The sequence below is a fragment of the Homo sapiens genome, chromosome 17 (assembly GCF_000001405.40).
Source record: "Homo sapiens chromosome 17, GRCh38.p14 Primary Assembly".
NCBI lineage: Eukaryota > Metazoa > Chordata > Mammalia > Primates > Hominidae > Homo > Homo sapiens.
This window is the reverse complement of record NC_000017.11, coordinates 38,841,489-38,867,200: the sequence shown is the minus strand read 5'-3', so window position 1 is coordinate 38,867,200 and position 25,712 is coordinate 38,841,489. Positions and strand designations below refer to the sequence as shown.

The following is a 25,712-nucleotide window of genomic DNA, read 5'->3' as shown; positions in this document are numbered from 1 at the left end:
GCGAGACTCCATCTAAAAAAAAAAAAAAGGCTAGGCCAAGACGTGGTGGCAGTTTGAAAAGCGTGTGAATTTAGGTGCCAATCTGCTTTGTCTAGGTTCAGTTCTTTTTTTTTTTTTTTCTCCAGACGGAGTCTTCCTCTGTAACCCAGGCTGGAGTGAGTGCAGTGGCGCAATCTCGGCCTCCCGGATTCAAGCGATTCTCCTGCCTCAGCCTCCCGAGTAGCTGGGATTACAGGCGCCCGCCACCGCGCCCAGCTAATTTTTGTATTTTTAGTAGAGATGAGTGTTCCACCATGTTGGCTAGGCTGGTCTCGAACTTCTGACTTCATGATCTGCCCGCCTTGGCCTCCCGAAGTGCTGGGATTACAGGCATGAGCCACCGCACCCCTGCTTGGTTCAATTTTTGTTTGTTTGTTTGTTTGTTTTCCATTTTGTGGAGATGGGGGCAGGTGGTGGGTGAAGGAGGCCGTCTCCCTATGTTGCCCAGAGACGGAATTTCGCTCTCCTTGATCAGTCGGGATTGCAATAGTGCGATCTCGGCTCACCGCAACCTGTGCCCCCCAGGTTCAAGCAATTCTCCTGCCTCAGCCTCCCGAGTAGCTGGGATTACAGGCATGCACCACCACGTCTGGCTAATTTTGTATTTTTAGTAGAGACGGGGTTTCTCCATGTTGGACAGGCTGGCCTTGAACTCCCGATCTCAGGTGATCTGCCCACCTTGGCCTTCCAAAGTGCTGGGATTACAGGCGTGAGCCACCACACTCGGCCTAGGCTCAATTCTTTATCCACAATCCCACTCATCTCTCCCCGCTAGCAAGTCAGAGAACAACCTCCTGCAAAACTGGATAAAGTTTTTCCTTGGTCTCTCCAAAAAGAATACGAACACGCCATTGCACTCCAGCCTGGGCAACAAGTTTCGCTCTCAACAAGAGCGAAACTCCGTTGCAAAAAAGAAAAAAAAAAAAAACTAAGTAAGAAAGAAATCCTGCAATATGCAATAACGTGGATGAACCTTGAGGATATTATGCTAAGTGAAGCAGGCCAGTTACAGAAGACCAAATACTGCATGATTCCACTTATATGAGGTTTCTAACATAGTCAGACTCCCAGAAGCAGAGAGTAGAACGATTGTTGCCAGGGGCTGGAGGGAGTTGCTGATCAATAGGTCTAAAATGTCAGTTCTGCAAGATGAAAAAACTCTAGAAATCGGCTGTACAACATTTTGCCTTCAATTAACAATACTGTATTGTATAGTTGAAAATCTAAGAGGGTCTGCCAGGCATGGTGTCTCATGCCCATAATCCCAGCACTTTTGGAGGCCAGGGCAAGAGGATCACTTGAGCCCAGGAGTTTGAAACCAGTTTGGGCGACATGGTGAGATTCCCATCTCTACAAAAAAAATTTAAAAATTAGCCAGGTATGGTGGTGTGTACCTGTAGTCCCAGCTACTTGGGAGGCTGAGGCAGGAGGATTGCTTGTGCCCAAGAGGTCAAGGCTGCAGTGAGCCAGGGTGACGGAGCAAGACTCTGTCTCAAGAAAAAAAGAGAGAGAGAGAAGCCAGTTGGGAATCTATTGTAATAATACGGGTCAGAGATGGTGGTGATGTCTTAGACTACAGTGTTTTATTAGTTTTATATTGCTGATATAACAAATTACAGTCTATTTGCATAAAACAACAGAAATTTATTATCTTCACAGTTCTGGAGGTCAGAATCCCAAAATCAATTTCACTGGGCTGGCTGGGCTCGGTGGCTCATGCCTGTAATCCCAACACTTTGGGAGGCCAAGGCAGGCAGATCACGAGGTCAGGAGTTCGAGACCAGCCTGGCCAATATGGTGACATCCCTTCTCTACCAAAAATAGAAAAATTAGCCAGGCATGGTGGCTCACGCCTGCAGTCCCAGCTACTCAGGAAATTGAGGCAGAAGAATCGCTTGAACCTAGGAGGCGGAGGTTGCAGTGAGCCGAGATGGTGCCACTGCACTCCAGCCTGGGTGACAGAGTAAGACTCCATCTTAAAAAAAAAAAAAAAAAAAAATCCACAGGGCTAGAATTAAAATGTTAGTATGACTGCATTCCTTCTGTAGGCTTTAGGGGAGAATCCGTTTCCTTGACTTTCCCAGCCTATAGAGGCCGCTACATTGCTGCCTCATTGCCTCTTCCCCAGTTGTCAAAGCCAGCAGCATATCATCCTGTCTCCGTCTAGCCTTGGTTTCCATGCTTCCATGTTACCATCTCCTCTCTCTGTGACTCTGATCCTCCTGCCTCCCTCTTGTAAGGACCTGTGGGATTACACTGAGCTCACCTGGATAATCCAGGATAACCTCACATCTCAAGATATTTAATTTAATCATATCTGTAAAGTTGCTTTTATCATGAGAGGTAACATAGTCACAAATAGATTCACAAGGAGACTGGGATGTAGACATGTTTGGAGCGTCATTATTTAGTCTATTACAAGTAGGAACAAGTAGAACAGCCGAGCTAGAGAAGAATGCAGGTGGCCAGGCACAATGGCTCACGCCTGTAATTCCAGCACTTTGGGAGGCCCAGGTGGGCAGATCACCTGAGGTCAGGAGTTCGAGACCAGCCTTCTCAACATGGCAAAACCCCACTCTACAAAAAACACAAAAATTACCCAGGTGTGGTGGCACACACCTGTAATTCCAGCTACTCGGGAGGCTGAAGCAGGAGAATCAATAGAACCCAGGGGTGGGAGGTTGCAGTGAGCCAAGATCGCACCCCTGCACTCCACCCTGGGTGACAGAATGAGACTCCATCTAAAAAAAAAAAAAAAAAAAAAAAAAACAAAAACGCCAGGCGCGATGGGTCATGCCTGTAATCCAAGCACTTTGGGAGGCCAAGGTGGGTGGATCACCTGGGGTCAGGAGTTCGAGACCAGCCTGGCCAACATGGTGAAACCACGTCTCTACCAAAAACACAAAAAATTAGCCAGCCATGGTTGTGGGTGCCTGTAATCCCAGCTATTCCGGAGGCTGAGGCAGGAGAATTGCTTGAACCCAGGAGGCAGAGGTTGCAGTGAGCCAAGATCACACCACTGCACTCCAGCCTGGGCAAGAGGAGCAAAACTTAGTCTTGGAGGGAAAAAAAACAGAAAGAAAAGAGAAAAATCCCACTGAGAAAGGGGCGAGTTTAGGGGAAAAAAAATGAGTTTATTTTTAAAACTCTTAAAAGAAAGTAACAAAGTACAGCCCCATGTCCTCACAGACATCATGTTCCAGTATTGGGATGAACATGTTTCATTTAAGGTGCTTAACTGATATTTAAGAGTATGCGTTTCGAAGCCTGGCGCGGGGGCTCACGCCTGTAACCCCAGCACTTTGGGAGGCCAAGGTGGGCGGATCACGAGGTCAGGAGATCGAGACCATCATGGTGAACACGGTGAAACCCCGTCTCTACTAAAAATACAAAAAAATTAGCCAGGCGTGGTGGCGGGTGCCTGTAGTCCCAGCTACTCAGGAAGCTGAGGCATGAGAATGGCATGAGCCTGGGGGGCAGAGCTTGCAGTGAGCCGAGACCGCACCACTGCACTCCTGCCTGGCTGACAGAGGAGACACCCTCTCAAAAAAAAAAAAAAAAAAAAAAAAGGAAGAGGCAAGCTCTTCATCTGACAGCAAGAGGAGAAAGAAGGTGTGGAAGGTTTAAGAAAGGAGAGACTGTGTGAAATAGTCATTTTGGAGCATGAAAAAGTAAACATATTTGGGCAATAGTGAAGCAATGCTAGACAGAAAGCATGTTTTACATTGATTGGCACAAACTTGTGCACCTTTTTTCTTCAGCAACATTCAGCTGCTTGGGTGCAGGTTTGGTGGAATCCCATCGGTGAGTTTAACTAGGCTGTAGTTTGGTGATTACGACCAGGGATTACCATGAACCAGGCACTGCGCCGACTACTTTGGAAAATGCAAGAAATAATGCAACATGATCCCTACCCTCAAAAAATGCACAATCTTGGCCGGGTGTGATGGCTCACGCCTCTACTCCCAGAACTTTGGGAGGCAGAGGCGGGCGGATCACTTGAATTTAGGAGTTCAAGGCTAGCCTGGCCAACATGGTGAAACCCCGTCTCTACAAAAAATACAAAAATTAGCTGGGCCTGGTGGTGCGCACCTGTAATCCCAGCTACTCAGGAGGCTGAGGCACTAGAATCCCTTGAACCCAACAGGCGGAGGTTGCAGTGAGCCGAGATGGTGTCAGTGCACTCCAACCTGGACCACAGAGCGAGACCAAAAAAAAAGTAAAAAATTGGTAGTGAGAAGGAAGAAAATGAACAGGCAATCACAGGTAAAAGACTTTTCTGGCCGGGCCAGGTGGCTCACGCCTGTAATCCCAGCACTTTGGGAGGCCGACGCGCGCGGATCACCTGAGGTCGGGAGTTCGAGACCAGCCTGACCAACAGGGAGAACCCTCGTCTCTACTAAAAATACAAAATTAGCCGGGGTGGTGGCGCATGCCTGTAATCCCAGCTACTCGGGAGGCTGAGGCAGGAGAATCGCGTGAACCCGGGAGGCGGAGGTTGTGGTGAGCCGAGATCACGCCATTGCATTCCAGCCTGGGCAACAAGTGGGAAACTCCGTCTCAAAAAAAAAAAAAAAAGAAGAATACTTTCCTAATGGAAACCTGTTGATGTTTGAAGGAGCCAGGGGAAGAGGAAGTGATTGAAGATGCTGGAGAAAATGGAGACAACGGAGACACACCTGGCCCGGAAGCAGAGATGGTCTTGGGAAGGACAAGGGAAGTACTTCCTCTTGTGTGCAAAGCACGGGGCTGAGGATTCACTGCAGCTCACGTTGCAGGCACAGAGGCTAAAAAATTGACTTGAAGCATTCCCAAATGCAGCCGGACGCGGTGGCTCACGGCTGTAATCCCAACACTTTGGGAGGCGGAGGTGGGCAGATCCTGAGGTCAGGAGTTCGAGACCAGCCTGACCAACATGGTGAAACCCACGTCACTACTAAAAATATAAAAATTAGCCCGGTGTGGTGGCGGGTTCCTGTAGTCCCAGCTACTCGGGAGGCTGAGGCAGGAGAATGGCGTGAACCCGGGAGGCGGAGCTTGCAGTGAGCCAAGATGGCGCCACTGCACTGCAGCCTGGGCAACAGAGCGAGACTCCATCTCAAAAAAATAATAAAAATAAATAATAAAATAAGAGAATTCCCAGATGCCAGAGGTAAAAAAGGCTGTAGTGGAAAAAAAAGGGGGCGCTATAGTGATGGAAAAGAGGGATCCCACTGCACATCCGTACAAGACCCTCAAGCCAGAATCAGAGAGGACTTAGACTTCTCTTTTCTCTCCCACCACTTTACTTGGGTCCAGATCACTCTAAATAGTTTATCATAGACACCAAACTATTCTGAATCACTGCAGGCAATGTCTGATCAGAAAACACTACATTTAAGACGCAGTCTTCCTTTTTTTGGTAGAGGGGGTATAGCTCAGGGGTAGAGCATTTGACTGCAGATCAAGAAGTCCCCGGTTCAAATCCGGGTGCCCCCTCACAGCCACCGTTTTAACACAGTGACGGGCAAGAAAGATAAAGCTCTCGGAGCATTCTGTGGTGGATACTGGGAAAATAATAAACTACGTATTACCCCCTTTTCACCTTCATAGACTTCACCTTCTACAAAGTATATCAACATACAAACTGGTAAGTTATAGGAGGATGTGTTATCTGCAACTTTGGAGTGTTCTCTGAATCCCTGGTAGTTGTAAGTGTGATGTGGGGATCCTGGGTGTCCTTTAGGCCCTTTCTGCGTGCAAGAAAGGATTTTTTTTTTTAAGGTAGTCTCGCTCTGTCGCCCAAGCTGGAATGCAATGGCTTGATCTCAGCTCACTGCAAACTCTGCCTCCCAGGTTCAACTGATTCTTCTGCCTCAGTCTCCCGAGTAGCTGGGATTACAGGCATGCGGCACCTCACTCGGCTAATTTTTGTATTTTTAGTAGAAACAGGGTTTCTCCATGTTGGTCAGGCTGGTCTCGAACTCCTGACCTCAGGTGATCCACCCGCCTCGGCCTCCCAAAGCGCTGGGATAACAGGCGTGAGCCCCCGCGCCCAGCCAGAATAATAATAATAATTATTATTATTTTTGAGATGGAGTCTCACTTTGTCACCCAGGCTGGAGTGCAGTGGCGCCGTCTTGGCGTCTTGGCTCACTGCAAGCTCCGCCTCCCAGGTTCACGCCATTCTCCTGCCTCAGCCTCCCGAGTAGCTGGGACTACAGGCGCCCGCCATCACGCCCGGCTAATTTTTCGTATTTTTTAGTAGAGACTGGGGTTTCACTGTGTTAGCCAGGATGGTCTCGATCTCCTGACCTCGTGATCCGCCCGCCTCGGCCTCCCAAAGTGCTGGGATTACAGGCGTGAGCCACCACGCCTGGCCTATTTTCTTGATAATATTAGTGAGACCCTTTCTGTGCAGAGGAAAGAATTATTTTAATAATAATGTCATTTTTTTTCTGTCTTACTCTTGCTCTTTCATGAGAATACAGTGGAGATTTCCAGAGATTAAATGTGTGAAATCACAACAGATTAGTGTAAAAACATGAAAAACCAGTTCTTTCATCAAGCCAGGTATTAAAGGGATTTAAAAAAAAATAAGTAAAGCAAAGTCACCCTTCTCACTAAATTATTTTTGTTTGGAAAAATATAGTTACATTTATTTATTTTATTTTATTTTATATTTGAGACAGGGTCTCTGTTGCCCAGGTTGGAGTGCAGTGGCGCAATCATGGCTCACTGTAGCCTCAACCTCCCAGGCTCAAGTGATCTTCCTGCTTCCGCCTCCTGTGTAGTTAGGACCATAGGCTCACGCCACCACACCTAGCTAATTTTTTGATATTTTGTAGAAATAGGATCTCACTTTGTTGTCCAGGCTGGTCTCAAACTCCTGAGGACAAGTGATCCTCCCGCTGGGATTACAGGCCTGAGCCACCAAACTTGACCTATTCCTCATTCTAAAATGTTATTTACTTTAGCAAAAAATGGGTTTATTGTTATTTTACGTGAAGTAATAACTTTCTTAACTTTAATTTATAATATGGTAAATGTCATCAGATATAACCTATATGAACAAAAACTCCTTGAGGTCTTTAATAATTTAGGAGTGTAAAGGAGGCTGGGCAAGGAGGCTCATGCCTGTAATCCCAGCACTTTGGGAGGCCGAGGTGGGCTGATCACCTGAGGTCAGGAGTTAGAGACAACCCTGACCAACATGGAAAAACCTCATCTCTAACAAAAATACAAAATTAGCCAAGCGAGGTGCCGCATGTCTGTAATCCCAGCTACTCGGGAGGCTGAGGCAGGAGAATCGCTTGAACCCGGGAAGCAGAGGTTGCATTGAGCTGAGATCACACCATTGCACTCCAGCCTGGGCAACAAGAGCAAAACTTCGTCTCAAAAAAAAAAAAAGGGCCGGGCACAGTGGCTCACGCCTGTAATCCCAGCACTTTGGGAGGCCGAGGCGGATGGATCACCTGAGTTCAGGAATTTGAGACCAGACTAGCCAACATGGTGAAACCCCGTCTCTACTAAAAATATAAAAAAATTAGCCGGGCGTGGTAGTGGGCGCCTGTAATCCTAGCTACTCAGGAGGCTAAGGCAGGAGAATTGCTTGAACCCAGGAGATGGAGGTTGCAGTGAGCCAACATGGTCCCACTGCACTCCAGCCTGGGTGACAGAGTGAGATTCTGTCTTAAAAAAAAAAAAAAAAAAAAAAGAGTGTAAAGGGGTCTAAAATGAAAATATTTGAGAACCACAGCTCCTAGTAAAGAAGTGGCTCAGAGAATAAACTGCTGGGGTTGTGAAACGGCTCAGAGAAGAAATGATACCTGAGCAGAGTTTTAAAGAACAGGTTGGACGGGCATGGTGGCTCACACCTGTAATCCTAGCACTTTGGGAGGCTGAGGCAGGTGGATCATTTGAGGTCAGGAGTTCGAGACTAGCCTGACCAACATGGTAAAATCCCCATCTCTACTAAAAATACAAAAAAAAAAAAAAATTAGCTGGCCATGGTGGTGTACACCTGTAATTCCAGCTACTTGGGAGGCCGAAGCAGGAGAATCACTTGAATCCTGGAGGCAAAGGTTGCAGTGAGCTGAGATGGTGCCATTACACCCCAGCCTGGGCAACAAGAGTGAAACTCTGTCTCAAAATAAATAAATAAATAAATAACACATAGTGGCTAAAGCAGGTGAATGCATAAATACAAGAAAGTGTGAATCTAAGCTATATGTCCAGAAATCCTAACTGGTTTGGTGTTTCTGGTGTGTGAAATATAAGAGGCAAGGTGGCAGAAGATGGAGCCAGGGAAGAGGTAGGCCATTTCAAGTGACTTCGATGCTTAAACAGCTTGGACTGTATTCTATAAGTACCAGAGGGTCGGTACATGTTTTTTGTTTTGTTTTCTTGTTTTTTTTTTTTTTTTTTTTCCTTGAGATGGAGTCTCACTGCATGCCCAGGCTGGAGTGCGGTGGGGCAACCTCGGCTCACTGCAACTCTGCCTCCTGGGTTCAAGCAATTCTTCTGCTTAGCCTCCTGAATACCTGGGATCACAGGTGCGTGCCATCACCCCTGACTAATTTTTGTATTTTTATTAGAGACAGGGTTTCACCATGTTGGCCAGGCTGGTCTCAAACTCCTGGCCTCGGGTGATCTGCCTGCCTCGGCCTCCCAAAGTGCTGGGATTACAGGTGTGAGCCACCATGCCTGGCCAGCACATGATTTTAAGCAGTGGGAAATTATGGTCTGACCATATAGAGGCCGATGCAATAGCTTTGAAACAAAGGCAGAACGTGGAAGGCATGGGCAGAAAAATTTAGGAAACAGAGTCAAGTTGATAGACCTTGGTGACTACTTCTAGGAGCCTGGGAGAAGAGAATTAATTGTGTCCCTGTTTTTTGGTTGAGACACTGGTGGTAGTACCAACCAGGAACACTATTCCTCCTATAACCATAGCCTTCTCCATCTTGGTTGACGGCAATGATATCTTCCAATTGCTCAGGCCTAAAGACTTGGAGACATTTTGATTCCTATCTTTCATACCCCACATTTTATTGGCTCTACCTCCAAAACACATCCAGAATCTGACTACATTACATCCACTACTACCATTCTAGTCCAAACCACCATCATTTCTCTCCTGGGTTACTGCAATAGCTTCCTAATGGATCTTCTTACTTCTATCCCTGTGTCCTCTCCCACAGTGTAGTCTCAACAACTCAACCACAGTGATCCTTCTGACACATTAGTCAAATCATGTCCCTCCTCTGCTTAAAATCAAAGAATGTTTCCTCATTTCACTCAGCCAATGCCAAAGTCCACAGTGGTTTCATTCCATGACTTCCTTTTTTTGAGACAGAACTCTCGCTCTGTCACCTAGGCTGGAGTGCAATGGTGTGATCTCGGCTCACTGCAACCTCTGCCTCCCAGGTTCACATGATTCTCCCACCTCAACCCACCAAGTAGCTGGGATTACAGGCACCTGCCATCATGCATGGTTAATTTTTGTATTTTTGTAGAGACAGGGTTTCACCATGTTGGCCAGGCTGGTCTTGAACTCCTGACCTCAGGTTATCACCTGCCTTGGCCTCCTAAAGTGCTGGGATTACAGGTGTGAGCCACCGTTCCATTACTTCTGACTGCATTTCTTACTACTTTGCTCTTTACTCGTCCTGTCCAGTCACATCTGGCTTCCTTGCTGGTGCTCATTCGGTTCAGTCACACCCCTGCCTTAGGGCTTTTTATTGGAAAATGACAAAGGGTTTCTCTCTGTAGCCCAGGTTGGAGTGCAGTGGTGCAATCACGGCTCACTGCAGTCCCCAATTCCTGGGTTTAAGTGATTCTCCTGCCTCAGATTCCCATGCCACCAGCTTATTTTATTTTATTTTATTTTAAGACAGAGTCTCGCTCTGTTGCTCAGGCTGGAGTGCAGTGGCGCAATCTGGGCTCACTGCAACCTCCGCCTCCCGGCTTCAAACAATTCTCCTGTCTCAGATTCCTGGGTACTTGGGATTACAGGTTGCCCACCACCATGCCCAGCTGATTTTTGTATTTTTAGTAGAGATGGGGTTTCACCATGACGGGCAGGCTGGTCTCAAATTTCTGACCTCAGATGATCTGCCTGCCTCAGCCTCCCAAAGTGCTGGGATTACAGGCATGAGCCACTGTACCCAGCCGCCACCAGCTAATTTTTAAATGTTTTGTAGAGATGGACTCTCCCTATGTTGCCCAGGCAGGTCTCAGACTCCTGGGCTCAAGGGATCCTCCTGCTTCAACCTCCCAAATTGTTTCGGGATTATAGATGTGAGCCACTGTGCCTGGTTTCATGTCAATATCTTTTTTTTTTTTTTTTTGAGACGGAATCTTGCTCTGTCACCCAGGCTAGAGTGCACTGGCGCGATCTCGGCTCACTGCAACCTCCACCTCCTGGGTTCCAGTGATTCTCGTGCCTCAGCCTCCCGAGTAGCTGGGGACTGCAGGCACGCACCACGCCTGGCTAATTTTTTGTATTTTTAGTAGAGACAGGGTTTCGCCATGTTGCTTGGGCTGGGTCTTCAGCTCCTGAGCTGAGGCAGTCTACCAGCCTCGGCCTCCCAAAGTGCTAGAATTACCGGCATGAGCCACCATGCCTTGCTAATTTTTGTATTTTTAGTAGAGACAGAGTTTTGCTATTTAGGGCAAGCTGGTCTCTGACTCCTGACCTCAAGTAATACACCCACCTTGGCCTCCCAAAGTGATGGAATTACAGGCATGAGCCACCACACCTGGCCCCATTTTTGTTTTGTTTTGTTTTTTTTTTTTTGAGACAGAGTTTCAAACGCTCTTGTTGCCCAGGCTGGAGTGCAATGGTGCAATCTCAGCTCACTGAAACCTCCACCTCCCGGGTTTCAAGAGATTCTCCTGCCTCAGCCTCCTGAGTAGCTGGGATTACAGGCATGTGCCACCACGCCCAGCTAATTTTGTATTTTTAGTAGAGATGGGGTTTCTCCAAGTTGGTCGTCAGGCTGGTCTCAAACTCCCGACCTCAGGTGATCCGACCGCCTCGGCCTCCCAAGGCGCTGGGATTACAGGCGTGAACCACTGCGCCTGGCTAATGTTTGTATTGTTGTAGAAACGAGGTTTCACCATTTTGGCCAGGTTGGTCTCGAACTCCTGACCTCAGGTGATCTGCCCGCCTTGGCCTCCCAAAGTGCTGGGATTACAGGCGTGAGCCAGCGCGCCCGGCCGATTACCAGTTGTTTTTAATATAGATAAATACATAGAGATAGATATATCTCTATCTATCTCTATAGATATATATCTCTATAGAGATAGAGAGAGAGAGAGAGATAGATAGAGATAGATAGATAGATATCGGCCGTGGAGGTTGCGGTGAGCCAAGATCGCGCCACTGCACTCCAGCCTGGGCAACAAGAGCGAAACTCCGTCTCAAAAAAAAAAAAGAAAGAAAGAAAGAAAAGAAAGAAAAGAAAAAGAAAAAAAAACTGGTAATCAATTTATTAAAATAGTTGACTTAAGCATCTGCAATGGTGACTTCCACCTCAACTCCTGGCTCAATACTGATGGAAGTAATCTGCTTAACAATCTCAGAAGGACTGTGCAAGTCAATGAGTCACTTGTGGATTCTCATCTGGAAATGATCCCATGTCTTAGAACCTTCACCACAAAGTTTTTCTTGAAGTGATTCTCAAAGTCTTGGCAGGCATTCGAACTGGTCCTTTCACTTTGAGATTATTTTCCTTTGCTCCTCTGATCAAGTCAGCACACACCTTCTCCAGGGATTTTACGATGCGGCTCGTTAGAGTGACTCGAATTCGTGAATTGCCACCTCCGCCTCCCTGGGTGTTTTTCCGGTATCCTTAAAAGCCATGGCTGCTGCGCGGCTTCCTGAGCGACTGGTTCCTCGGCGAGGGCGAACAGCGGTGAGTCAGTAGCAGGAGCGTGCGGATCAGCGATCCGCAACACCTACGACCGCGTCTTCCTCAAAGAGCTATTTATCTATATACATTTTTGAGACGGAGTCTAGCTCTGTCGCCCAGGCTGGAGTGCAGTAGCGCGATCTCGGCTCACTGCCGCCTCTGCCTTCTGGGTTCAAGCGATTCTCCTGCCTCAGCCTCCGGAGTAGCTGGGATTACAGGCGCCCGCCACCACGCCCAGCTAATTTTTGTATTTTTAGTAGAGACGGAGTTTCCCTGTGTTGGCCAGGCTAGTCTCGATCTCCTGACCTCGTGATCCACCCGCCTCGGCCTCCCAAAGTGCTGGGATTACAAGCGTGAGCCACAAGGCCCGGCCACTATTTATATTTTACACTTGATCTTGGCCAAAAGGCCGAGAAGCGATACTATTTATATTTTTATAATACATATCCCCATCTAACATACTACATACTGCAATTACTTATTATATCTTTTGTTTAGTGTCTAATATCCTCCTCCACCTGCACCCCAGCAGAATGTAAGCTCCATAAGGAAAAGAATGTTGATCTATTTTGTTCTCTGATGTAATCCGCTGTACGCCCTGGACAGAACCTGCTGTAAAGTAGGAGCTCAATAAGTATGTGAATTAATGTATCGTGGGAAGGAAAGAACCCAGAGAATAAGGGGCGGCTGAAGCTGTGAAAGGAGCAATTAGGCCTGGCGCGGGGGCTCACGCCTGTAATCCCAGCACTTTGAGGGACCAAGGCGGGCAGATCACTTGAGATCAGAAGTTCGAGACCAGCCTGGCCAATAACATGGCGAAACCCCGTCTCTACTAAAAATACAAAAATTAGCCCAGCGTTGTGGCGGGCGCCTGTGGTCTCAGGTACTCTGAGGCTGAGACAGAGAATTGCTTGAACCCGGAAGACGGAGGTTGCAGTGAGCTGAGATCTCGCCACTATACTCCAGCCTGGGCGACAGAGTGAGACTCGGTCTCAAAAAAAGAAAAAAAGAGTGTGTGTTGGGGGGGACGGGTCAATAAATAGAGCAATACTGTATATGTAAAATACAGAATGGTATGATACCAAGAACACATAGATGGAATGATCTGCAGCACTTCTCAACTGTATTACATTCAACGAAACCGTTTAGAGCTTGTTCTCCCTCCCTCCCCCACTTTCTTTGTTCCTTGGGGAACCCCCACACGGCACAAACCGTGTTTTAATTCCTATTCTCTAGTGTGCAGATAAGTGCCTGGCACTATTAAGTGGTCAAAAGAGGTCGTGAGCAAGTTAACAAATCACTGTTTCCATGTCCCTAACTACTCTTAAGCTCGTAGAGAAGATACTTCCTATCTCTTGCGCTTCTACCTCAACTCCCACTTCGCAGAGAGGGCTAAAAGCGACGTCGTAAACTTATTACGTAATAAGGCAGCGCCCAGAGGCGGAAGAGGCCGGTTTTTGCTCCGGCCACGTGAGGAGGGTGGGCGGGGCGTTAAAGTTCATATCCCAGTGTCCTTTGAATCGACTTCCTTTTTTCTTTTTTCCGGCGTTCAAGATGTCGAAGCGAGGTGAGGTTTTGTTTCTGGAGGATCCTCCACCATCTGTCGTGCAGTGGCTGGCGGATTCGTCAGGAGCGGTGGCCCTAGGCAGCTGGGGCGCTTTGCTCTCCTTCAGGCCGGAGAGAGAGAGCCAGGCCACCGCGAGAGCACTGCCAGGGCCCTCGAAAGTGGCAGTGGGGTGCTGGAGAGTTGAGATGGCAGGATCCCGACGTGAATGTAGTCTGGATACCGCGAGATCGCTCCGCGAATAGGGCTATCGTAATGGGGTTGAAGTTAGACTGGATTAGGCCCTGGTTTGCGCGACCTCTGCGGTTTTATGCCTTGCAGGAGTAATTGCGTTTTGCGAAAGTTAGAGCAAGGGTTGAGTCGTCTAGGTTTCTTAATTTCGATGTCAGAGTGTTAATAGTAAGAAATAGGCTACTTTCCGTGAGAATCGGGTGGCACATGGGGACGGCATAAGTAAAATCCGAGCGAGCTAATCTATAGCGTACAGTCTATCAAAGCATGTGCGGTGAATTACAGCTTGAGTATGAGGGGGAACTCCGAACCATGTCTAGATTGTGATCTCTTTATCCTGTTTCCCTTCCCTTTATATCCACAGGACGTGGTGGGTCCTCTGGTGCGAAATTCCGGATTTCCTTGGGTCTTCCGGTAGGAGCTGTAATCAATTGTGCTGACAACACAGGTGAGGTCTTTGCACGTTGCTATACTCCCCCTTTTAAAAGCACTCAATGGGCCTGTGGCTAATGACCTATTGAGCCGTCAAGAAAGGGGAGAGTGAAAACATCGCTTTTGGGTGAAGTGGCAACATGTGTTGTTTGCTTCAATCGGTGGTGTGACAAGGCGTTCTTGCGGACTAACTGCTTGGGCAGTGAGTGGAGGGAGGGGCTTTGGAAGTGTTTGGGAAATGTTATACTGATGGAACGGCCTGATGGCCCTCAACATTTTTTATTTTTATTTACATTCTTTTGTAGGAGCCAAAAACCTGTATATCATCTCCGTGAAGGGGATCAAGGGACGGCTGAACAGACTTCCCGCTGCTGGTGTGGGTGACATGGTGATGGCCACAGTCAAGAAAGGCAAACCAGAGCTCAGAAAAAAGGGTGAGTAAACACTGAGCCCACCTTAATACTGATGAGTAGTGGGGGGACGCTTTCCTTTATTGGAAAATGGATCAGTTTTCAAGGCCTCAAGTTTGTTTTCCATTGAGAGGCAGTGTGAGATAAGTATCTTAAGTTTTTGCTCATATTGTGTTGGAGGGGGGACCATCATCTTGTCACTTCCATACCTTAGTTGTTTTTTTGTTGTTGTTTTTGTTTTGTTTTGTTTTGTTTTTTGAGATGGAGTCTCTCTCTGTCGCCCAGCCCATACTGGAGTGCAATGGCACGATCTTGGCTCACTGCAACCTCCGCCTCCTGGGCTCTCAAAAAAAAATATATTACAAAACGAAAACAAGCTGCCCGTTGCTTATTTTATTATTTGTTTTTGAGATGGAGTCTCACTTGTTGCCCAGGCTGGAGTGCAGTGGCACATATCTGTTCACTGCAACCTCCACCTCCCGGGCTCAAGAGATTGTCCTGCCTCAGCCTCCCGAGTAGCTGGGATCATAGGTGTGCACCACCACACCCGGCTAATTGCTCATTACTTAATCTCAGGCTCCCCACTCAAAATTTTTCCTGTCAGGTGTATGATTTAAAGGGGGAGGCCTCAAAATACTTGCAGCTTGTGTCCTGTCTGGCTTTAGAACTTCTGGTGTTTGGTGCATTTTAACTTCAGCGCTTGCACTTTTTTCCTGTGCCTGCCTAATCTGTCTCTACCCTGGGATGTCTTGCTCTTCTAAAGAGTTCCTGGCCATCCCTTGATTTACAAATGTGATGTTGATTTGTCAGCCCTGTATTACAGTTACTCCTATTCCTGTATCCACCCCACGATGCTGTCCAGTAGATTTTTAGCCTTTGGGTTAGAAATTGTTTTTTGTTCACCATTAATATCCATTTGAGGGCTGGGTAGCACTGTGATTGTGATTCAGCAATTGCATGGGCTTTTTCCTCTTCTCAGAACACTTCCTGGGTCTGATTGGTGGCCCAGGGAGCTGTCAGAGAAGAGCAGAGCAAATGGCCTTCACTTTGTAGATGAGATGGCAGGAGGGTGGATTGTTGGTCTCAGTCAGTGGTGGGACAGACCAGAGCTCCGAACACTTCAGTTTTAAAACTAGTTGTGAGTTTCCAATTCTGTTAATGTCTTTTTTGGTCCTTGTTTCTGCTAAATGAATACATCCCCTCCCCTTGGAACTTAATATCAATAAATAACAAGCACAGAAATATGCAAAAGGACCAGGTCTACTTGAAGAATTTGTGAGGATTAAATGGTTTATGAGTAGAGGAGGGTCAGTCAGTAAGTATTGGCTACCTCATGTGTGTCCCATTACTAACTTGGTTAGACTTATCTATTTTTTGTGTAGTCTTCCTGTCATAAAAATTCTGTGTAAGGACCCCATGCTAGTATCAGTGAAGATTGTGAATCCAGGTGTGTCTGACTCTACAATAGTTCTTCACAAGCATTATATTTCACTGTGTAGTGATACTTCATTTTGAAAGTTGGGAAAAGCGTCTTTTTCACTTTAGTACAGATGGGTATAAAAGTTACTTAGGACACTAGAAAACAGTTCATTAAAAGTAAAACAAAGCCTGGTGCTTGGGCCCAGGAATTCAAACTGTTTTCCAGTGTAAATCTGAATAGCTTGGTCTCTGCTCATTGCCAGGACTGGGAGGAGTTGGGGGTCCCAGGTCCCATTTCTACATCCCAATTCAGTGATACTGGGATCTTAATAACCTACCTGTAAGGTGAAGTTGGAAAAGGCATAGGCAAGGATAGTTGTCCTGAGAGTTTTACACTTGTGAGAAAATACTGGCAGCTTTGATTTTAAGATGTGAATAGATGATCGTGGTTCATGCCTTTACTCCCTATACTCCCAGCACTTTGGGAGGCCAGGCTTGCCAACATGGCAAAACCCTGTCTCTATGAAAAAAAAAAAAAAATCTGGGCATGGTAGTGTGCACCTGTAGTCCAAGATACTAGAGAGGCTGAGGTGGGAGGATCACCTTGAAGATTGATATTTACACTGTCACTGTCTCAAACGCTGAGTGTACATTCTGTCTAGTTGGAAACTGCTTTTGTGGTGGCACTGCGACTTGACAGGTTAATGACTGCTGTCCTTTTTTCTTCTCTCAGTACATCCAGCAGTGGTCATTCGACAACGAAAGTCATACCGTAGAAAAGATGGCGTGTTTCTTTATTTTGAAGATAATGCAGGAGTCATAGTGAACAATAAAGGCGAGATGAAAGGTAGGAAATCAGTCCAGCTTGTTCCTTAGGTCTCTGAGGTTGGGTGGATTGTCTAGAAGTACAGGCCAAGGATCTTCTGTGTTTGACGATGTCTTAATCTGTCCCCCACATGTTTTTATTTTATTTTATTTTATTTTTTTAATGCAGGTTCTGCCATTACAGGACCAGTAGCAAAGGAGTGTGCAGACTTGTGGCCCCGGATTGCATCCAATGCTGGCAGCATTGCATGATTCTCCAGTATATTTGTAAAAAATAAAAAAAAAAACTAAACCCATTAAAAAGTATTTGTTTGCAGTGCTTGTCTCCCTGTTCACTTCCAGGGTTCAAGCGATTCTCCTGCCTCAGCCTCCTAAGTAGCTGGGATTACAGGCACCTGCCGTCATGCCTGGCTAGTTTTTGTATTTTTGGTGGAGACAGGGTTTCACCATGTTTGCCAAACGACTCAAACTCCTGATCTCAAGTGATCTGCCCACCCAGGCCTCTACAGTGTTTTTGACATACCCTGACCATCACTTTTCTGAAATGGAAACTCTGGGCATTTTTTTTTTAAAGCAATCCTTGCTTTTTTGTGAGTTTGCAGACTTTCAGCATCTTCCAATTGCTGTATTTACAATTTTGGCCTCAAAAAGTATTATTTGGGTTTTGAGTCCCAAAAATAATAGTAGATACTGCTCAATGACTGGCTATACATGGTAGCTTCTCCTGGAGTGAGGAAGGCATTCAAATGGCTGGGCGCGGTAGCTGGCACCTGTAATCCCAACACTTTCGGAGGCCAAGGCAGGCAGATCATGAGGTCAGGAGTTCAAGACCAGGCTGACCAACGTGGTGAAACCTCCTCTTTTCTAAAAATACAAAAATTAGCTGGGCGTGGTGGCGCACCGCCTGTAATCTCAGCTACTGAGAGAATCGCTTGAACCTGGGAGGTGGAGTTTGCAGCGAGTCGAGATTGCACCATTGTACTCCATCCAGCCTGGGCAACGGAGCAAGATTCCGTTCCCGCCCCCGCCCCAAAAAAAGGCATTGAAGTTAAGATAGACTATATAGTTAGATCCTGGACACACACATGGATTTTGAGGAATGATGTGAGTTTGTTTATGTATGTACATTTTAGCAGTTAACAGATTTGGAGTAAATTGAATATTTATAAAACAACAGTAATTGCCATGTAGGTTTACTGTCATAGTGGAAGATGATTAAGTTGATGGTACCTACAGGTATTTTGCTATGAAAATGTTTTGACAAACAGGATGATCGTGTAATTTATGTTCCAAGCTCTAGTTTGAGAATGGAAGAATGTGGTAAATTTTTGCCAACTGAACAGGCATAAAGCGCTGATAATAAGGGACTTGGCCTTAAGGTAGGAGGTTGTTAGCATTTCTTTCTAAACGTGTAAGAGTTTATTTAGGTGACACCCAGCGTTTTGGAAAAATGGGTGTTTGTTTAGAACAATAATTTGGAGGGAAGTGGACTAAACAGGGTTTTTAGATTAAGGTTTGTGTTTATGTATCTGTATCTGCAAATACTCAGCCATAAATGTTTCTACCTGTAAGTTGGGTATAATACAAGCTCCACTTGGTATCAAAAAGGACTACCCTTAGTGTCTTCCATGACTAGTTATGGAATGTACCAGACCTAGAGAGGAGTTGTTCTAACCTGGAGCTTTTGAAAATGTTTCCGGTCCATACCCTAGACCAATTAAGTCAGACTGCAGAATAGGACTCAGACATCAGAATTGTGAAGCTCCCAGGAGATGTCAAGGTATACCCAAGACTGAGAACCAGTACCCTGTCTAGACTGAACCAGGCTTGGTTTTAGAAGTATTAAATCTCGCCTGGGTACGGTGGCTCACACCTATAATCCCAGCACTTTGGGAGGCTGAGGTGGGTGGATCATCTGAGGTCAGGAGAGTGAGACCAGCCTGTCCAACATGTTGAAACCCCATCTCTACTATACAAAATTAGCCAGGCATGGTGGTGCATGCTGTAATCCCAGCTACTTGGGAGGCTGAGGCAGGAGAATTGCTTGAACCCCGGAGATGGAGGTTGCAGTGAGCTGAGGTCGCACGATTGTGCTCCAGCCTGGGCAACCAGTGAAACTCTGGGGGGAAAGAAAAAAAATGTATTAAATCTCTAGTTTTAGAGAGTTACACCATAACATCCCTGAGTATGGTCAATTTCAAGTCAGCTTTAGTGTGACAAGCCCCTAGGCCCACCATTTATGTCTTTATATATTATGGCAATATATGATCCTTATATATTAACCACTAATCGCTGCTGTTTTTGAATGTTATCTTTTCTGAGGCAGTCTTGCTCTGTCACACAGGCTGGAGTGCAGTAACACCACTGAAGCTCACTGTAACTTTGAACTGCTGGACTTGGAATCCTCCTGCTGTGGCCTTCAAAGGGCTGCAATTACAAGTGTGAGCCACTGCATCCCACCTCACATTTTATTCTTTGGAGATTTTTTTTGACTTGGATTAAAAAACTTTATATTTACACTTCACTAAATGTTTTCCTTTGTCAGCTGGGCATGGTGGCTCACACCTGTAATCCCAGCACTTTGGGAGGCCGAGATGGGCTGATCACCTGAGGTGAGGAGTTCAAGACCAGCCTGGCCAACATGGTGAAATCTCGTCTCTACTAAAAATACAAAATTAGCTGGGCGTGGTGACGCGTGCCTGTAGTCCCAATTACTCCGCAGGCTGAGGCAGGAGAATTGCTTGAACCCAAGAGGCAGGGGTTGCAGTGGCGGAAGTTGCAGTGAGCCAGGGAGACTCCATCTCACTCCTGGGCTCCAAGAGACTCCTGGGCTCTTGTTGCCCAGGCTTGAGTGCAGTGGTGCAATCTCAGCTCACTGCAACCTCTGCCTCCTGGGTTCTAGCGATTCTCCTGCCTCAGCCTCCCGAGTACCTGTGACTACAGGTGCCCGCCACCACGCTAGGCTGATTTTTGTATCTTTTTTTTTTTTTTTTTTTTTTTTTTTTTTAGCATTTTTTTATTTTGAGACCGAGTTTCGCTCTTGTGCCCAGGCTGGAGTGCAATGGTGTGATCTCGGCTCACTGCAACCTCCGCCTCCCGGGTTCAAGTGATTCTTCTGCCTCAGCCTCCTGAGTAGCTGGGATTACAGGCATGCACCACCACGCCTGGCTAATTGTGTATTTTTAGTAGAGACCGAGTTTCTCCATGTTGGTCAGGCTGGTCTCCACCTCCCGACCTCAGGTGATCCGCCCCCCTCGGCCTCCCGAAGTACTGAGATTACACGTGTGAGCCACTGCGCCCGGCCAGATATATATATATATATATTGTTTCCTTTGTCACTGTTTATATTCTGCAAGTTCTTTCTAGGTAAAAGTTTTAATAGAATGGATTCAAGATATCAGATCTGATTTATAGTAGCTTGCAACTTGAACAGTAATACATGTACTTTCATAATAAAAATAGTAGTAAATATAAAAAAATAGTAAATTCACTACAAGACCTAGTGGAGCATGCCTATTATCCCGGCTACTCTGGAGGCTGAGATGAGCAATTCTGAAGTCTAGCTACAGGCACGCAAAAATTGGCCGGGTGTGGTGGTGTGTACCTTTAGTCTCAGCTACTCTGGAGGCTGAAGTGGGAGGATCACTTGAGGCCAGGAGGTCAAGGCTACAGTGAGCAATGATCACACTACTGCACTCCAGCCTGGGCAAGACTGTCTCTATGAAAAAAACAAAACAGGCCAGTTACAGTGGCTCACGCCTGTAATCCCAGCACTTTGGGAGGCCGAGGCAGGCAGATCATGAGGTCAGGAGATCAAGACCATCCTGGCTAACGGTGAAACCCCGTCTCTACTAAAAATACAAAAAAAATTAGCCAGGCATGGTGACGGGCACCTGTAGTCCCAGCTATTCAGGAGACTGAGGCAGGAGAATGGCGTGAAACCGGGAGGCGGAGCTTTCAGTGAACCAAGATCGTGCCACTGCACTCCATCCTGGGCGACAGAGTGAGACTCCGTCTCAAAAAAAATTAAAAAAACCTCCATCTCGGCTGGGTGCGGAGGCTCACGGCTGTAATCCCAACACTTTGAGAGGCCAAGGCAGGTGGATTACCTGAGGTCAGGAGTTCCAGATCAACCTGGCCAATGTGGCGAAACACGCGTCTCTACTAAAAATACAAAAATTAGCTGGGTGTGGTGATGGGCGCCTGTAATCCCAGCTACTCAGGAGGCTGAGGCAGGAGAATCACTTGAACCCAGGAGGTGGAGGTTGCAGTGAGCCAAAATCGCACCATTGCACTCCAGCCTGGGCGACAATAGCCAGACTCTGTCTCAAAAAACAAAACAACGGCCGTGGTGGCTCACGCCTGTAATCCCAGCACTTTGGGAGGTCGAGGCGGGTAGATCACCTGAGGTCAGGAGTTCAAGACCAGCCTGATCAACATGGTGAAACCCTGTCTGTACTAACAGTACAAAATCAGCTGGCTGTGGTGGTACATGCCTGTAATCCCAGCTACTTGGGAGGCTGAGGCAAGAGAATCGCTTGAACCCAGGAGGCAGAGGTTGCAGTGAGCCAAGATCGTGCCATTGCACTCCAGCCTGGGCAAGAAGAGTGAAACTCCATCTCAAAGAAAAAACAAAAACAAAAAACAACAACAAAAAAAAAACAAGGCCGGGCATGGTGGCTCACGCCTGTAATCCCAGCACTTTGGGAGGCTGAGATGGGCGGATCACGAGGTCAGGAGTTTAAGACCAGCCCGGCCAGAATGGTGAAACCCCGTCTCTACTAAAAATATAAAAATTAGGCCAGGCGCGGTGGCTCATGCCTGTAATCCCAGCACTTTGGGACGCCAAGGCGGGCGGATCACGAGGTCAAGAGATCGAGACCATCCTAGCTAACACAATGAAACCCTGTCTGTACTAAACAAAATACAAAATATTGGCTGGGCGTGGTGGCGGGCGCCTGTAGTCCCAGCTACTGGGGAGGCTGAGGCAGGAGAATGGCGTTAACCCGGGAGGCGGAGCTTGCAGTGAGCCGAGATCGCACCACTGCACTCCAGCCTGGGCAACAGAGCGAGACTCTGTCTCAAAAAAAATTAAAAAATCAGCTGGGAGTGGTGGCAGGTGCCTGTAACTCCAGCTACTCGGGAGACTGAGACAGAAGAATCACTTGAACCCGGGAGGTGGAGGTTGCAGTGAGCCGAGATCGCGCAATTGCACTCCAGCCTGGGCGACACAGCGAGACTCTGTCTCAAAAAAAAAAAAAAAAAAAAAAACCCAAAAAACAAACAAACAAAAAAAACACCTCCGTCTCTACAAAAAAAATTAGCTGGGTGTGGTTGTGTGTATCTGTACTCCCAGCTACTCTGGGCTGAGGCAGGAGAATGGCTTCAACCCAGGACGCGGTGGCTGCAGTGAGCCTAGATCGCTCCACTGCACTGCAGCCTGCGCGACAGAGCGACACTGTCTCAGAAATAAATAAAATAATAAAATATGTAATTTATATAATTACCTAGATCCAATGCTGTATGTGGAAACTAAAGGAAAAAGAAAAAGAAAATTAGCTGGAGGAAAAATATGGTAATGTGTCCCCCCACCGTTTTGTTATTTTAAAGGAAAGATAAGGCCAGTCCTGGTGGCTCATGGCTCTAATCCTCCCAGCTTGGGAGGCCAAGGTGGGCTGATCACTTGAGCTCAGGAGTTCAAAACCAGTCTGGCCAACACAGCGAAACCCTGTCTCTACAAAAAATACGAAAATTAGCTGGGCCTGGTGGCGTGTGCCTGTAATCCCAGCTAATTGGAGGCTGAGGCAGAAGAATCGCTTGAGTCCGGGAGGCAGAGGTTGCAGTGATTCCGGATCGCAACGCTGCATGCCAGCCTGGGAAATTGGAGTGAAACCATGTCTCGAGGGGAAAAAAACAAGCATAAATAATAGCGGGTGAAAATAACTCGGGTGGGGCTGGGCATGGTGACTCACACCTGTAATCCCAGCACTTTGGCAAGAGGCCAAGGCGAGAGGATCACTAGAGGTCAGAATTTTGAGACCAGCCTGGCCAACATGGTGAAACTCCATCTGTACTAAAAAGACAAAAATTACTCACGCCTGTAATCCCAGCACTTTCAGAGACCGAGGCAGGCAAATCACCTGAGGTCAGGAGTTCAAGACCAGCCTGGCAAAACCCTGTATCTAGAAAAATATAAAAATTAGCTAGGCGTGGTGGCGTGCACCTGTAAACCCAGGAGGCAGAGGTTGCAGTGAGCCAAGATCACACCACTGCACTCCGGCCTGGGCAATAGAGCAAGACTCCATCTCAAAAAAAATAATAATAATAATAAAAATACAAAAATTAATGGCCGGGCATGGTCGCTCATGCCTGTAATCCCAGCACTTTGGGAGGCTGAGGCGGGCAGACCACCTGAGGTCAGGAGTTCGAGACCAGCCTGACCAACATGGAGAAACCCCATCTCTACTAAAAATACAAAATTAGCCGGGTGTGGTGGCACATGCCTGTAATCCCAGCTACTAGGGAGGCTGAGGCAGGAGAATCGCTTGAACCTGGGAGGCGGAGGTTGCGGTGAGCCGAGATCGCGCCATTGCACTCCAGCCTGGGCAACAAGAGTGAATCCCTGTCTCAAAAAAAAAAAAAAAAAAATTAGCTGGGTGGCGGGGCAGGATGGCTCACGCCAGTAATCCCAGCACTTTGGTAGGCCGAGGCAGGTGGATCACCTGAGATCAGGAGTTCGAGACCAGCCTGGCCAACATGGTGAAACCCCGGCTCTACTGAAAATACAAAAATTAGCCAGGTGTGGTGGCGTGCGCGTGTGATTCCAGCTACTCAGGAAGCTGAGGCAGGAGAATCGCTTGAACCTGGGAGGCTGCAGTGAGCTGAGATCCTGCCACTGCACTCCAGCCTGGGTGACACAGTGAGACTCCATTTCAAAAAAAAAAAAAAATTTAGTCTGGGGTGGTGACACGGGCATGTAATCTCAGCTATTCAGGATGCTGACACAGGAGAATAGATTGAACCCGGGAGGCAGAGGTTTCAGTGAGCCAAGATCGCACCACTGCACTCCAGCCTGGGTGACACCTAAAAAATATATATATATATTTTTAATATAAATATAAAATATTTAAATATAAAATATACATTTTATATTTATATTAAAATATATATAATAGGCCAGACACAGTGGCTTATGCCTGTAATCCCAGCACTTTGGGAGGCCGAGGTGGGCTGATAATTTGAGGTCAGGAGTTCGAGACCAGCTTGGCCAACATGGCAAAACCCCGTTTCTACTAAAAATACCAAAATTAGCCGGGCTTAGTGTCAGGCGCCTGTAATCTCAGCTACTCGGAAGGCTCAGGCGGAATAATCACTTGAACCTGGGAGGCGGAGGTTGCAGTGAGCCAAGATCGCGCCGCTGCACTCCGGCCTGGGCAACAGAGCGAGACTCCCTCTCTAAATAGATAGATAGATAGATAGATAGATAGATAGATAGATAGATAGATAGATAGACGGACAGACAGACAGATAGATAGATAGATAGAATAAGTGAAAGGCTGGGCGCGGTGGCTCACGCCTGTAATCCCAGCACTTTGGGAAGCTGAGAGGGGTGGATCACGAGATCAGGAGTTCAAGACCAGCCTGGCCAAGATGGTGAAACCCCGGCTCTACTAAAAATACAAAAAATTAGCCGGGCGTGGTGGCAGGTGCCTGTAATCCCAGCTACTTGGGAGGCTGAGGCAGAGAATTGCTTGAAGCCGGGAGGCACAGGTTGCAGTGAGCCAGGATTGAGCCACTGCACTACAACCTGGGCAACAGAGCGAGACTTTGTCTCTAAAATAAATAAATAAATAAAAAGAATAAGTAAATAAATAATGTTAATTCGGGTGGGGCAGGAGAATTGTTAAGTGGACTGACCGGAAGTCAGCTAACTGGATTTGGGGAACCTCTTTTTTTTTGAGACGTAGTCTTGCTCTGTCGCCCAGGCTGGAGTGCAGTGGTGCGATCTCGGCTCACTGCAAGCTCCGCCTCCCGGGTTCACGCCATTCTCCTGCCTCAGCCTTCCGAGTTGCTGGGACTACAGGCGTCCGCCACCACGCCCGGCTAATTTTTTGTATTTTTAGTAGAGACAGGGTTTCACTGTGTTAGCCAGGATGGTCTCGATCTCCTGACCTCGTGATCCGCCTGCCTCGGCCTCCCAAAGTGCTGGGATTACAGGCGTGAGCCACCGCGCCCGGCCTTTTTTTTTTTTTTTTTTTTTTTTTTTTTTTTTGTCTTTTGAGACAGGGCCTCCTTCTCTCATCCAGGAGTGTGGCACAATCATGGCTCACTGCAGCCTCCACCTCCATGGCCCAGCCTGCAGTGCAGCTGAGTCCACAGGTGCGCGCCACCACACTCGGCTAAGTATTCATTTATTTAGTAGAGATGGACTTTCGCTTTATTGCCCAGGCTGGTCTTGAATTCCTGGGCCCAAGCGATCCCCCCCGCCTCGTTTTCCCAAAATGCTGGGATTACTGGCGTAAGCCAACGCGCCCGGCCTAGGGAAACTTTCTAAGCTTCAACTTCTAGCTCTGTAAAATGAGAATTGGAAGTAGGTGCGATCTGAACTTTCTGATCAATTCCGGGTACAAGCTTTTCAACAAAACTGAGCTGAGGAAATAGCATGTAATACCGTGGGAAAAGAGAATACTCACCTTAAAGGAAAACTGGGGGAGCGGGGCCTAAATGCACACAAACTGCCCACAATCGGTTATCCAGTCTCCTCCCCTTCACTTTCCAACTCCTCTTGCATAGTCAGTCTGGTCAACCTCCTCTGGGGCCAAGCAAGCAACTTCCCCCACGGCCTTAAGGGCCCACCGGTCAACCCGGGGTGAGTGGAGACAATAGGGTTTGTGT

At 47.2% G+C, this 25,712-nt stretch overlaps 1 protein-coding gene, 1 long non-coding RNA gene, 3 other non-coding genes and 1 pseudogene across 5 annotated transcripts, besides 6 other annotated features; 4 read left to right on the top strand and 2 right to left on the bottom strand.

Moving 5' to 3' along the window:
• Nucleotides 3,222–3,301: an enhancer, noted in NCBI's record as "active region_12081". NCBI's record gives its function as "activates an Ori minimal core promoter by ATAC-STARR-seq in GM12878 lymphoblastoid cells {active_cell/tissue: GM12878}" and the evidence as "EXISTENCE:reporter gene assay evidence [ECO:0000049][PMID:35858748]".
• On the top strand, nt 5,446–5,517 carry TRC-GCA14-1 (tRNA-Cys (anticodon GCA) 14-1). Its single transcript has one exon. It is a non-coding gene; the product is annotated as a tRNA-Cys (tRNA).
• Nucleotides 11,497–12,007, bottom strand: RPS20P35 (ribosomal protein S20 pseudogene 35; annotated as a pseudogene).
• Nucleotides 13,060–13,843: an enhancer, noted in NCBI's record as "NANOG-H3K27ac-H3K4me1 hESC enhancer chr17:37009611-37010394 (GRCh37/hg19 assembly coordinates)". NCBI's record gives its function as "activates a minimal SCP1, AML or CMV promoter by ChIP-STARR-seq in primed H9 embryonic stem cells {active_cell/tissue: H9 hESC(primed)}" and the evidence as "EXISTENCE:reporter gene assay evidence [ECO:0000049][PMID:30033119]".
• Nucleotides 13,060–14,627: a biological region, named in NCBI's record as "P300/CBP strongly-dependent group 1 enhancer GRCh37_chr17:37008921-37010120".
• Nucleotides 13,227–13,336: an enhancer, noted in NCBI's record as "active region_12080". NCBI's record gives its function as "activates an Ori minimal core promoter by ATAC-STARR-seq in GM12878 lymphoblastoid cells {active_cell/tissue: GM12878}" and the evidence as "EXISTENCE:reporter gene assay evidence [ECO:0000049][PMID:35858748]".
• Nucleotides 13,334–14,533: an enhancer, noted in NCBI's record as "P300/CBP strongly-dependent group 1 enhancer chr17:37008921-37010120 (GRCh37/hg19 assembly coordinates)". NCBI's record gives its function as "activates an origin of replication core promoter dependent on BRD2, BRD4, P300/CBP, MED14 and CDK7 cofactors, with strong dependence on P300/CBP, by STARR-seq in HCT116 cells {active_cell/tissue: HCT116}" and the evidence as "EXISTENCE:reporter gene assay evidence [ECO:0000049][PMID:35650434]".
• RPL23 (ribosomal protein L23) lies at nt 13,480–19,341 on the top strand. Its single transcript, NM_000978.4, has 5 exons — nt 13,480–13,503; nt 14,096–14,179; nt 14,469–14,597; nt 16,726–16,839; nt 16,987–19,341. The coding sequence occupies exons 1-5, from the start codon at nt 13,491–13,493 to the stop codon at nt 17,067–17,069; spliced, it is 423 nt and encodes a 140-aa protein (NP_000969.1). The 5' UTR covers nt 13,480–13,490; the 3' UTR covers nt 17,070–19,341.
• Nucleotides 13,844–14,627: an enhancer, noted in NCBI's record as "NANOG-H3K27ac-H3K4me1 hESC enhancer chr17:37008827-37009610 (GRCh37/hg19 assembly coordinates)". NCBI's record gives its function as "activates a minimal SCP1, AML or CMV promoter by ChIP-STARR-seq in primed H9 embryonic stem cells {active_cell/tissue: H9 hESC(primed)}" and the evidence as "EXISTENCE:reporter gene assay evidence [ECO:0000049][PMID:30033119]".
• On the top strand, nt 14,206–14,338 carry SNORA21 (small nucleolar RNA, H/ACA box 21). The gene has a single exon (NR_002576.1). It is a non-coding gene; the product is annotated as a small nucleolar RNA, H/ACA box 21 (small nucleolar RNA).
• On the top strand, nt 15,543–15,677 carry SNORA21B (small nucleolar RNA, H/ACA box 21B). The gene has a single exon (NR_145761.1). It is a non-coding gene; the product is annotated as a small nucleolar RNA, H/ACA box 21B (small nucleolar RNA).
• Nucleotides 18,911–25,701, bottom strand: LOC124903994 (uncharacterized). Its single transcript, XR_007065743.1, has 3 exons — nt 25,511–25,701; nt 22,325–22,349; nt 18,911–18,936 (listed from the first exon to the last, which is right to left on the bottom strand). It is a non-coding gene; the product is annotated as an uncharacterized LOC124903994 (long non-coding RNA).
• Between the last annotated feature and the right edge of the window lie 11 nt (nt 25,702–25,712).

Excerpts from the sequence above, each read along its gene's own strand:
- RPL23 (NM_000978.4), top strand. Across the intron at positions 14,180-14,468 it reads CAATTGTGCTGACAACACAG|GAGCCAAAAACCTGTATATC; the intron begins GTGAGGTCTTTG and ends ATTCTTTTGTAG. Across the intron at positions 14,598-16,725 it reads ACCAGAGCTCAGAAAAAAGG|TACATCCAGCAGTGGTCATT; the intron begins GTGAGTAAACAC and ends TTCTTCTCTCAG.